Below are 13,093 nucleotides of genomic sequence, written 5' to 3'. Positions count from 1 at the left end.
GCTGCCAACACAACCAGATCGCTGGTGACTATAGTTATGTCTACCAAGATTTGAATGCATGGGGCTTGGCTTTGGTTAACTTCCTTAGTTTTATTTTTCAAACAAAGAAACCTCCAGGTTATGGGCACCCTATTTATTCCCATTAACAGGCAGGATTTGCAGGATAATTGTCCAGAACTTGAATATTGATCCAGATTTTTACATTATTCATCCCTTTTTGTTTCTTCTGAGCTGCAGCCAGAGATTGCTGGTTGGTTACAGGAATAAGCAGGGTTAGTCTAAAACGTAGGCAAGAACTTTAAAAAACTAATGAGATTAGAATTTAATGATAAGCATACGATAATTTTTCTCTCTCCAATTATCATTTTTGTTAAAAACAAATCATGATAGAACTGAGTTGTTTGTAAACTACACTTTAGTTTTATACTTGGCCTTATTATTTGCATAAAGTGCAGCAAGAATAATTATTTTTACATAAGCCTTTTAAATTGGCTTTATGGAACTCTGTTCCACAAAGAATCTCAGATAGAACTTTTTAAAGTCCAGCCCAGCCATGGGTTTGTATCCTCAAATACCTATGAGTTAGGTGAATTCCTATTTTTTTGAGGTCCCAAGAACAAAGTGTTCCTGGGCCTATTAGAAAGTGATAGTATTTACTCACCACAGATTAGCAATCCTGTACAGAGAGTGTGTAGACAAGGTATCAGGCAAGTTTTCCCAAGGGGCTTTTATTAGCTCTGCAGGCTAACCTTGATTCCTTAAAGGGAATCAACCATTTTCTCCAAATGCATCCTGTTGCAAAAGAAAATGGATTCTTATTGCACTGATGCAAACAACCATATTGCCATAAGTCAAGAATACTCAAAAAGAGTTTCCAAATTCTGGAGAAGCCAGGCAGAGAGAAACAAATAGTCCCCAAATTTTGTTCACAGGAGTATAACTTAGTCAATTATTAGAAGCTATAGCTAGCTTAAAGGAAAAGTTTCCTTGACTCTGAAAAACAAAACAAGGATAAGCAATGTTTTAAGCAAAAAATTTAGAACAATTACTTCAGTTTCCTATCAGCTCAGTCTATTTCTTTAACTCTTATTCTGCTTGATATTCATAACCACTTCAGCTTTTCGTGAGTTGTGTACATTTTTCTTTTATCAGAAAACTGCATTTGAGAGCACTTGTTAAAGTCCTACAGTTGATCATAAACCATCTTTTGAAGAGAATTAAAACAAGACAACAGTTGTCTGTAAATGACAAAATTTCCAGGGTTGTTACAGGCAAGAATATGATTGGTGAAGACATTTGGTTATTTCTGTAGTTACAATAGCTTAACATAATAAACCTAATTATCATTGACAGCATATGTTCAGACATTAGAACATTAGATATCCCATATGATTTTGGAACATATATTAATATTATTTACCGAAATAAAAACTGAAGAAGATTACACATCACTGTGGCAATCCCTTGTATCTAAACATGTTAAATAATCCTGTTTACCTCTTTTCTGGATGCTCCAGAGGCCCTCTGTCACAACCAAAAGCTAGGCATCAGGAGAGACAATTTTGAAACTGAAATTTAATTTTGGGGAGACTGTTAAATTTAGACGTATAAAAACTTGATATTATGAAATATAATTACAGATTACTATAAGTTATTTATTTTCCCAAAATGATGACTCAAAAATTTAAAAAGGCAAAATCCTTTTATTAGCCTTTACTATTACATGAAAATCCTTTTCAAGAGGGAGAAAGGCAAACTTCACCCTTGCATTAGTTTACTATTAGTGTCAACCCCAATTTTTAATGAAACCTTATAGAGAATTCTATCTAATCTTAATCAGTTTGACTGAGGTGATATTCTTACAAACCTTTCATAAACCTTTACAAATTTTGATAAAGAGCAGAATTGCATCTTAAGAAAACCTTACTGTTCTTTTATTTCAGTGCTCAATTTACAAAAATCTTATAACACCCTTTTGAATTTGGTCAATATGTCCACACACACAGTTTCCTTTGCAAGATTAATTTTTACAGTCTCTCCACAACTTGCTTGAACTTTCAGCTGTATTTTATCTAATTTAAGACAATCTTTTAACCCTAGGCAAAATTTACATTTTCATGTTTACTTATAATCTTTTACTAAAAACATATTTTACTGTTTTTACACACCTTGCATGTAAATCGAATTTCAGTAGTCTCAATTACATGTTATAATGGTAACTTCTAGCATTTTTTAACTTTAATGTAAAACCTGGTATGTTGTTTTAATTATATACTAGGTGCAGATAAGTCCTGAATCTATCCAGCATAGTTAGGGGCATGGTTAATTTCACATGTCCCATGGCTTGCCAAGTTGTAAAGCAGGCAGTTTACAACCTTGAAACATTTAGCAAGCCTAGTATCTGACATACATGATTTAGACCCCCTATTTACATTTTGACAAAATTTGCATTTTACCAATTATCTTTAAAACTATTTTTATTTCTTAAATATTAAAGTCATGTGAACTAAAAGACATTACTGCTTTTATCTTTCCTATAAAAATATTTGATTTAAGCATTTATTTTTCTTTAAGCCAATTAATTAGAGCTCTTTTTACAGATATCACACACAACACATATATAACTACATAGACAAACAGAAGAAGATCAAGTAGTTATAAGATTTTTCATATGTCAATCTCCTAATTGGATTATTGGCCTCTGGGAAGGGTCCATTAAGAGCAGGGCTTAAAAAGCATGCAGTTTCTAGGGCCTAATAAATAGGTATAGCTGGAAGACAAAAACAGATTTTTATCTATCTGCCTCTAATTCCTAGGGTTCCACAAGGAAAACAGAGGTTTCTCCCAAAATGGAATCCATGGTGCATCTTCCGTTTTTACCAAAAAGCCCCAGGCCATCAGAAATTATCTTAGGGCCTTCCATGCATGCACCAAGAGTGGCAAGACAGAGTGGAGAAAAGTAATTCAGTCAACTGAGAAAGAAACCTTTTCCAGAAAAACAAGATCCAAGAAGAGAAAAACATAAAGGTCTTTTAAATATACCTATAACTTGGATATCCACTTTTAATTAAGCTGAGTGCTCTTTAAGAAAATCCTTTTAAATTCATTGTTACCCAACTTTAGGCACACCAAAAAGTTAATATTTCTGACTTTTGAACTTTATCAAAAGTAATCTCACAGGTGAAACCAACAAGACTCCATTAGGTTATGACTAAACCTCGAGTGTACAACGTATTTTCAAAGGGGTGATAAGCAGCTTTTACAAAACCCAGAAGTTTTGGCTGGGTGTGGTGGCTCACGCCTGTAATTCCAGCACCTTGGGAGGCTGAAGCCGGCAGATCATGAGGTCTTGGCTAACATTGTGAAATCCCGTTCTCTACTAAAAATGCAAAAAAAAAATTAGCCAGGCATGGTGGTGGGTGCCTGTAGTCCCAGCTACTCAGGAAGCTGAGGCAGGAGAATGGTGTGAACCTGGGAGGCAGAGCTTGCAGTGAGCCAAGATCGCACCACTACACTCCAGCCTGGGCAACAGAATGAGACTCCATCTCAAAAAAAAAAAAAAAAAAAAAAAACCAGAAGTTTTAAAGGCAACTTAGAGAGAGAAAGATTTAAGAAAGGAAGTTAGCAGTTGTTCATGGAGGGGGAAGAGAATTAGCAAATGGTAAAAGTCACATAGCTATTAATTTGAAAGTATTCATTCCCCAAGCCAGGATTGAACCCGTGCGCCATTGTAAAATGGCAAAGGCTAAAAAAAGTACTGTGACATGGTTACAGGTCACACTCAAGTATGTAAAACAAGACGGAGGCCTGCAGCAAAGGTTGTTACTGACAACTTTACCAGGCTATCTTGAAGTGAGGGCTTACATGGAGTTCCAGACCTGCATTCCATTCCAAGGTATCCCTCTTTCTGCCTTTTTTATGTGTTTCCTCTCCCTTTCCAGGGCCTCCTCCTGGTTCCTATTATAAAAGACTGAAGTGGCTACCCTTAGGAGGTTTTCTAACGTGCCATCTGGTCCTATAGCCTGATTCTGAAGCTTGCTTCTGATGTCAGGGGCCACCTGAGTAAGCTTGTCTTTCAAGATTAGCTGTCCCTCAATTGAATTAGGAGATAAGTGTGTTTTACCAAAGCCCTCTCAGGCTTTCTAAAAAGACTGAGAGATTTTCATCTAGCTTTTTATCTATCATTGATAGCTTAGAGTAGTTAACAGGTTTGGCTCTGGTCCTTTGTAAGCCCTCTGATATACACATCTGAAAGTGTTTTCTTTTCCACTCATCTATGGGATTACTAGGCTTCCAATTAAGGTTTTCAAGGGACACTGCCTCTCTTCCTACTGGGAATGGGGATTCTGTCTCTTTCTCACCCTCTTTCCCCTTTTTGACTCTTTCTTTTTTGACTGGCTATGGGAGACATGCTGTTCATCTCCAGATTTCTCTGCTATCTGTAGGGCTGCCTCTTTCTCAGCAGCAGTTAGAATTTTAAGAGGATATGGAGAAATAGGAATGCTTTTACACTGTTGGTGGGACTGTAAACTAGTTCAACCATTGTGGAAGACAATGTGGTGAGTCCTCGAGGATCTAGAACTAGAAATACCATTTGACCCAGCCATCCCATTACTGGGCATACACCCAAAGGATTATAAATCATGCTTCTATGAAGACACATGCACACATATGTTTATTGCAGCACTATTCACAATAGCAAAGACTTGGAACCAACCCAAATGTCCATCAATGATAGACTGAATTAAGAAAATGTGGCACATATACACCATGGAATACTATGCAGCCATAAAAAAGGATGAGTTCATGTCCTTTTTAGGGACATGGATGAAGCCAGAAACCATCATTCTGAGCAAACTATTGCAAGGACAGAAAACCAAACACTGCATGTTCTCACTCATTGGTGGGAATTGAACAATGAGAACACTTGGACACAGCGTGGGGAACATCACACACTGGGGCCTGTCGTGGGGTTGGGGGAGGGAGGAGGGATAGCATTAGGAGATATACCTAATGTAAATGATGAGTTAATGGGTGCAGCACACCAACATGGCACATGTATACATATGTAACAAACTTGCATGTTGTGCACATGTACCCTAGAACATAAAGTATAATAATAATAATAATAATAATAAAAGAGTAATATAACATCATTCCAAGAGAGTTTAAATACTTGGGGTAAATCCTGGAAGGCCTCTATGTGTGAGTGAAGTTGAAGCTTGCCTAAAGAAAACTTGAAGCAAGTTTTCTTGCATCAAGCCATGGGCAGGCTTGAAGACAGGTTGTTACTTATCTAGAAAAGAGAGGAGGAGAAGGCATCACTTAGCCTCCTTCCTCCTTTCAGGGTGACCCAGGGTGTAGAAAAAGATAGAAAGGGTGTCCCCCTTCTCCTCTTTTCTCCAATCTCCTTTGGGTCCTGGCAACTGACGTAGGTGCTACCCATGGATTCAAGCATGACCTTCACCAATAGATCTGGAGAAGCTAGTCAGCATAAATAGTCATGTTCACCTGCTTGAGGCCCTAGCTCTCCGCCCTGCTGGCTTCCTGGACCCACTTGGCCCATAAGGCTCTTGAGATTCTTAGGGCCCCAGGAGAGATTGTGCAGTAGTTGAATTTGGGAAAGACCCTTTGATGGAGGGAGTGTCTTAACTCTATCCTTACATCCTCTTACTACTGCGTTGGCAAAGTTATAAGTTCCTAGAGAATGGAACCAATTGACTTCTAAACATAAGATCCCTTTCTTGCTTAGATGTCAAAGTAGCTGGATAATGAACAGGTGCCTCAAATGAATGTAAGAATTGAATGGCTGTCTTTCCTCTGATGGGGATAGCACTGAAACAAATTCTGTCTTGCTAGGGTAGCTTCCTCCCAGCTGTTGAAAGGGGAATTTTCCTGTCTACAAACAGGGCATGGAGCCTCATCACAGAGAGGGACATAAAAGAGAAAGGAATCAGGGAACTAGAGGTTTTGTGCAAAGGGCCAAAAAGGATCCCCACAGAGAAAACTCCCATCCTAGTAGGTGGCACTGTAGGGTTTGAAATGTTAGGTAAAAACTCTGACTTCAAATTCTTTTTCCAGGCAAAGGTTAGAAAGAGAGATTTGAGCCTTAATAGGTTGTCCCCATAATATGCTGCCCAGCAGAGGAAAATTAATTTGTCTCATAGAGGGATTGCTAAGATTCACTGAACAATGCTGAGCTCTTACATAGACTATAAAAAAAAAAGTGAAAGAAGGGTATTTTCTTTGGGTGAAATATTCCCCTATACAGTGCCATGAATGTCTATTATTGAGAAACAAAAAGGCCCTTGTTAGATGAAAGTTAAAGCTGAAATCCTGAAGTTACCCCATCTCTAGAAAATCGCAGAAGCAACAATTCTTTGAATTACATTCCTAGTGACTAAGGCACTTGCTGACTTTTCTTAACAGGAGTATCTCCCCAGGCTGTGAAAATACCTACAACATTGCATATAAATAAGGGATAGGAGACATAGTAGCCATGAAAAGAAGGAAGTAAATGCAATTAAAAGGTCTGAAAGTCCTCATGGCAACACCCTGAGGGGCTGTCAGGGGCTGGAGTTAGTTCAGGGAACTGCAGGCAACACCAAGGTATAGCCTTAGCCAGATGCCCTCAGTTGCCCTAGGACCTCCTTCCAACCTCACATGATGGCTAGGTCCTTCATGAAAGGAAACGGGAATGAAACAGAGTCAACATTCCCACCACATGACAGCGATGGGGAATTGACAAAGTCCTCTCCAGCAAGCCTGTCCCCTGAGTCTTGTAAGGCTGGCAGCCATGCTATTCATCTTTAATTGGCTGATAGGGACCCACTATTTTGTTTAATTTAAAAATCTGAGGGTGAGAAGCCTTGGAAATGAAAGTTAAGAGTTGGAGACCCACTCCTACTCACCCTTCTAATGTTTCCTTTCTCAGACAATACACCAAAATGTTACAGTCTTACCAATGCACCACAATGTAGCAGTCTCATTGTGAGGTATCACCCAGAGTTCTTTGTCTCATGACCTAGAGAATTAAGGAGTGTGGAAACAAGGGTGGGGTTGGAGTGAAAGTTTACTAAGTGAAAGAAGAAGGCTCTCCACTGCATATAAAGGGCCTGGAAGAGAATTACCATTTTTATGTAAGGTTTTATAAGATAATGATGGGGGCTGAGCATTTCATTTGCATAAGCTATAAATTTCTGCTAGCTCCATCCCATCCTCCTAGTGCACATGCTGACCCTTAGCTTGAGTTACTTCATATTGCTTTCTTCTCCTTACTGCACCTGTGTTAGGGGATGGAATTTTCCATTGTGGGCATGTCTTGGCAAGTCACCTGTGTAGCCTTTCTTATCTGTACAGCTGTAGGCATGTCCTAGGCAAGCTCCCCTGTGCAAGTCCCTTATCTGTACCTGCAGCTTGAGTTTTCAGGCTGTTCTTTTGTTTGAAAGAATTCAAGCAAGGACCCACCCTAACTGCCTGCCTGACCGGTTTTTTCCTTTCTCTTCTCTCAGTTGAAACAAAAAGGGAGTAGAGATTATCTCTGCTTCTTTTTGTCACTGCTCTTCCACTTTGCTCTAGTCCTAATATTCTCTTTCTTTCAGTTACTTATCTGAGTTAGAACTCAATATGGCCAACCCAATTGAATTTCTCTATGACTTTTATCCCAAGTGCCTGTGACAAACTTATTACAAATTCGTAGTTAAATTCTGGGGTAGATGAAAGGAAATCTGATTGGCTCTGCAAGTTCTAGTTGATTCGTTTCCCTTGGGAAAGTGGTTCTTTCCAGATCTAACCAGTTATGATCAGGAGAAATACGTGGCAAAATATGACCACTTGGCCTTCCCATTCATCAGAGATTTCAAACAGAGGCAGTTCATTCATATCAGGCATGGAGCCCATCTAATTTTAAAAGGCAGAGTAAATATAGAACTTCTCCCTTCATCTCCTAGAATTCACCTAAAAGCAACCAGATAAAAAGAAAACAAAAATGCATATACATAGTCAACAAAAATTAGAGACAATTAAAGTAAAAATTAAAAAATAGATGAGAGTGGCATCACCAAAATTGCAGACTAAACACAAGCTGGCTTCACACCAACCCCCCAAAAAACAAAACAAATATCTACACACCAAGATTATCACTGGCAATAACCCTCAACTCAAATCTGAGGATGAGCCAGTTCCTAGGGCTACAGAGAAGTGAAGAAACTCCAAGGTGATGGATAATTGTTTCTGCCTCAACCTAGGAGAAGCATCACATGTGCCTGAAGAGAGAAAATCCCCCAAAGGTAGCCAGAGACAAATGAGAGTAGTGAGAATATCATCCACAGCCCTTAAAATTCTGCTCTCTTTCTCAGACAAAGGAGATGCCATATCAGAGTGGCTGTTTAGCAGCCCTATGCTGTAGGAAGTACATTCCATGAATCCCCTGGGCACAAGCCCCTAGCCAGCCTTCCCACATAGCCTGGGATCACTTTGGGATCTCTCCCATCTGGGACAAGCAGTGCTCTGAACATTTGCTAATGCCAAGGCAAACCTTGGTTTAATGTGCTATCTTGTGCCCAAAAAGAGGCAGTGATCTAGCATGAAATAATTCAACAGCTATGTTCCAAAGAATTTCTAAGTAAACATATCCAAGGAAACCAAACAAGACAGAGAAAATTGGAATAAATAACTAATCCTCCAACGCAAACACACATCCATGCATCTACGAGAAACAACACCAACAGAACCATGACTTCCCCATACACACGAAGCAAGAAGCCAGTGACTGACCCTAAAGAGATGGCAATGTGTGAGCTCTCTGATTAAGAGCTCAAAATAGATGTTTTAAGGAAACTCAGAAAGCCCCAAGAAACACAGTCAAGCATTCAAAACTTTATCTGATAAATTTAACAAAAGATCAAAATTTTTACAAAAGAAAATAGAAATCCTGGAACTGATAAATACATTTTCTGAAGTAAAAAAAAAAAAAAATGCACTAGAGGTTCTCAATAGCAGAATGGATTAGCAGAGAAAAGAATGATTGAGCTCAAACACAGACTATTTGAAAATACACAGTGATAGGAGAAAAAAGAATGAAGAATGCCTACACAATATAAGAATCTTATAAGAACATTACCTCAAAAGAGTGAATCTAAGAACTATCAGTGTTAAAAAGGGAGTTGAAAAAGAGCAAGGAGTAGAAAAAATATTCAAAGAAATAATAACAGAAAACTTTCCAAAACTTGATAAAAATATAAATATCCAGGTGCAGGAAGGTCAGAGATCATCAAACAGATACAACCCAAATAAGGTGATCCAAAGGCATATAATAACTAAACAATCAAAGTCAAGAACGAAGAGAGGGTCCTAAAAGCAGCAAGATAAAAATAGGCAAATAATCATATAAAGAACTCTAATTAGTCTGGCAACAAACTTCTCAATGGAAACCCTTCAGGCCAGGAGAGAGTGAGAAGACATATTCAAAGTGTTGACAGAAAAAAAAAAAACAACTGCTGAGTATGCTGTACAAAAGCTACCTTGACACATGAGAAATAAATAAGCAAACAAAAGCTGAGACAATTTATCACCACTAGACCTGTCTTACAAAAAATGCTAAAGGGAGTCCTTCAATCTAAAAGAAAAAACACTAACATGAAAAAAAAATTTTGAAAGTATAAAACCCACTGGTAAAACTGAGTTCACAGACAAACTGAGAATATTCTAATACTCTATTGTGGTGTGTAATTCATTCATATTTCTAGCATGAAGAATAAAAGACAAATCTACTGAAAGCAATAATAGCTGCACACTATTAAGAGATAGGCAATATAAAAAGATGTAAATTAAAAAAACAAAAAGTCAAAATGTGGGATGATGAAGTTAAAATATAAAGTTTTTTTAGTTTTTCCTTTGTTTTATTCTATTCTTTTGTGATCAAAGATAAGTTATCATTACTTTAAATAACCTGTTATAGCTATAAGATATTTTCCATAAACATTATGGTAATCACAAAGCAAAATGCTATAACAGGTATAATAGATAACACTAGAAATAAAAAGCAATGAATTAAAACATACTACAAGAGAAAATCACTTAACTACAAAAGAAGACAATAAGAAAAAAGAAAGGAAGAGAGGAGCCAAAAATACAACCAGAGGCTGGGTACAGTGGCTCACGCCTGTAATCCCAGCACTTTCAGAAGCCAAGAAGGGCAGATCACCTGAGGTCAAGAGTTTGAGACCAGCCTGACCAACATGGAGAAACCCAGTCTCTACCAAAAATACAAAATTAGCCAGGTATGTTGGCACATGCCTGTAATCCCAACTACTCAGGAGGCTGAGGCAGAAGAATCACTTGAACCCAGGAGACGGAGATTGCAGTGAGCCAAGATCAAGATCATGCCATTGCACTCCAGCCTGGGCAACAAGAGCAAACCTCCGGAAAAAAAAAAAAAAAAAAAAAAAAAAACCACCAGAAAACAAGAACATAGGAGGTAAAATAGACTACAAAACTAGAATACTGTTAAATAGGCAAGGAAGATCACAGTATGCTGATAGCAAGTTCAATACAGCAAGAGTATATGGCAATTATAAATATATACGCAGCCAACATAAAACAACTAAGTTTATTAAGCAAACATTAATAGGTCTGAAGAGAGAAACTGACTGCAATATAATAATAGTATGGGACTTCAACACCTCACTCTCAGTAATGAACAGATCATCCAAACTGAAATAGGAAAAGAAACATCTGAGTTTGGCTACACACTAGACCAAATAACCCTAACTGACATTTACAGAACATTTAACTCAATTGGTGCAGAATATACATTCTTTTCATCAAATATAGAACATTTTTCAGAATAGACCACATGTTAGGCCACAGAACAAGTCTCAAAAACTTTAACCAATTTGGAAAACGTTTCAAAATGTCATCCATGATAACTTTCTCAACCTCTCTAGAGAGGCCCACATTCAAATTCAGAAAATGCAGAGAACCCCAGTAAAATACTCCAAGAGAAGATCATCCCAAAGATGCATAATCATCAGATTCTCAAAGATCAAAATGAAAGAAAAAATGTTAAAGGCATCTAGAGAGAAAGGCCAGGTCACCTACAAAAGAAAGCCATCAGATTAACAGCAGACCTCTCAGCTGAAACTGTACAAACCAGAAGAGATTGAGGGCCAATATTCAACCTACTAAAAAAAAAAAAAAAAAGGAATTCCAAACCAGAATTTTATATCTGGCCAAACTAAGCCCAATAAGCGAAGGAGAAATAAGATCCTTTTCAGACAAGCAAATGCTGAGGTAACTTGTTACCACCAGAACTGCCTTACAAAAGCTCCTAAAGGAGGCACTAAATATGGAAAGGAAAGACCATTACCAGCCACTACAAAAAAACACTGAAGTACACAGACCAACGACACTATGAAGCAACCATAAAAACAAGCAAAATCACCAGCTAGAATCACAATGACAGGATCAAAACCACACATATCAATACTAGCTTTAAATGTAAATGAGCTAAGTGTCCCAATTAAAAGACAGAGAGTGGCAAGTTGGATCAAGTACCAAGACCCATTGGTACACTGTCTTCAAGAGACTCATCTCACATGCAGTGACACACATAGGCTCAAAATAAAAAATTTAAAAAAAATGGAGGACAATCTACCGAGCAAATGGAAAACAGAAAAAAAGAAAGGGTTGCAATCCTAGCTTCTGACAAAACAGACTTTAAACCAACAAAGATCATAAAAGACAAAAAAGACCATTACATAATGGTAGAGGGTTCAATTCAACAAGAAGATCTAAGGATCCTAAATATATGTGTATCCAACACAGTAGCACCCAGATTCATAAAGCAAATTTTTAGAGACCTTCAAAGAGACTTAGACTCCCACACAATAATAGCAGGAAAATTTAACACCCCAGTGACAATATTAGACAGATCATTGAGGCAGAAAATTAATAAAGATATTCAGGAACTGAACTCAGCACTGAATCAAATGGACCTGATACATATCTACAGAACTCTCCACCCCAAACAACAGAATATACATTCTTCTCATTGCCACATGGCACTTACTCTAAAATAGATCACATAATTGAAAGTAAAACACTCCTCAGCAAATGCAAAATAACTGAAATCATAACAGTTTCTCAGACCACAGTGCAATCAAATTAGAACTCAACATTAAGAAATTCATTCAAACCACACAACTACACAGAAATTGAACAACCAGCTGGGAGCGGTGGCTCATGCCTGTAATCCCAGGACTTTCAGGGGCCGAGGCAGGTGGATCACAAGGTCAGGAGATGGAGACCATCCTGGCCAACATGGTGAAACCCTCTCTCTACTAAAAATACAAAAATGAGCTGGGTGTGGTGGTGCATGCCTGTAGTCCCAGCTCCTCAGGAGGCTGAGGCAGGAAAATCGCTTGAACCCAGGAAGCAGAGGTTGTGGTGAGCCGAGATTGCGCCACTGCACTCCAGCCTGGTGACAGAGCGAGACTCCGTCAAAAAAAAAAAAAAGAAAAAGAGAGAGAGAGAAAGTGAGAGAGAGGGAGAAAGAGAGAAAGAAAGAGAGAAGAAAGAAAGAAAGAAAGAAAGAAAGAAGGAAGGAAGGAAGGAAGGAAGGAAGGAAGGAAGGAAGGAAGGAAGGAAGGAAGGGAAAGAAAGAAAAAGAAAGAAAAAAAAGAAAGAAAGAGAAAGAAAGAAAGAGCGAGCCTGGTGACAGAGCAAAATTCCGTCTCAAAAAATAATAATAATAATCAAAACATCTAAGAAATATGGAATTATGTAAAAAGACCAAATCCATGACTCATTGACATCTCTGAGAGAGGGGCAGAAATCTAGCAACGTAGAAAAGATATGTGAGGATATCATCTGGGAAAAATGTCCTCAACCTCACTAGAGCAGCTAACATTCAAATTCAGGAAGGGTGGAACTGTAAATTAGTTCAGTCATTGTGGAAACCAGTGTAATGATATATCAAAGAACTTAAAACAGAATTACCATTCGACCCAGCAATTCCAGTATTTGGTATATACCCAAAGGAATATAGTTTTACCATAAATACACATGTACACATATGTTCCCTGAAGCACAT

General features: G+C 38.1%; 1 annotated feature.

Annotated features, from left to right (window-relative positions):
• Window positions 7,241–7,909: an enhancer, noted in NCBI's record as "H3K27ac hESC enhancer chr14:46254136-46254804 (GRCh37/hg19 assembly coordinates)". NCBI's record gives its function as "activates a minimal SCP1, AML or CMV promoter by ChIP-STARR-seq in naive H9 embryonic stem cells {active_cell/tissue: H9 hESC(naive)}" and the evidence as "EXISTENCE:reporter gene assay evidence [ECO:0000049][PMID:30033119]".

The sequence above is a fragment of the Homo sapiens genome, chromosome 14 (genome assembly GCF_000001405.40).
Source record: "Homo sapiens chromosome 14, GRCh38.p14 Primary Assembly".
Taxonomy (NCBI): Eukaryota; Metazoa; Chordata; class Mammalia; order Primates; family Hominidae; genus Homo; species Homo sapiens.
Note: the sequence above shows the minus strand (reverse complement) of the source record. Positions and strands in the feature narration are given on the sequence as shown.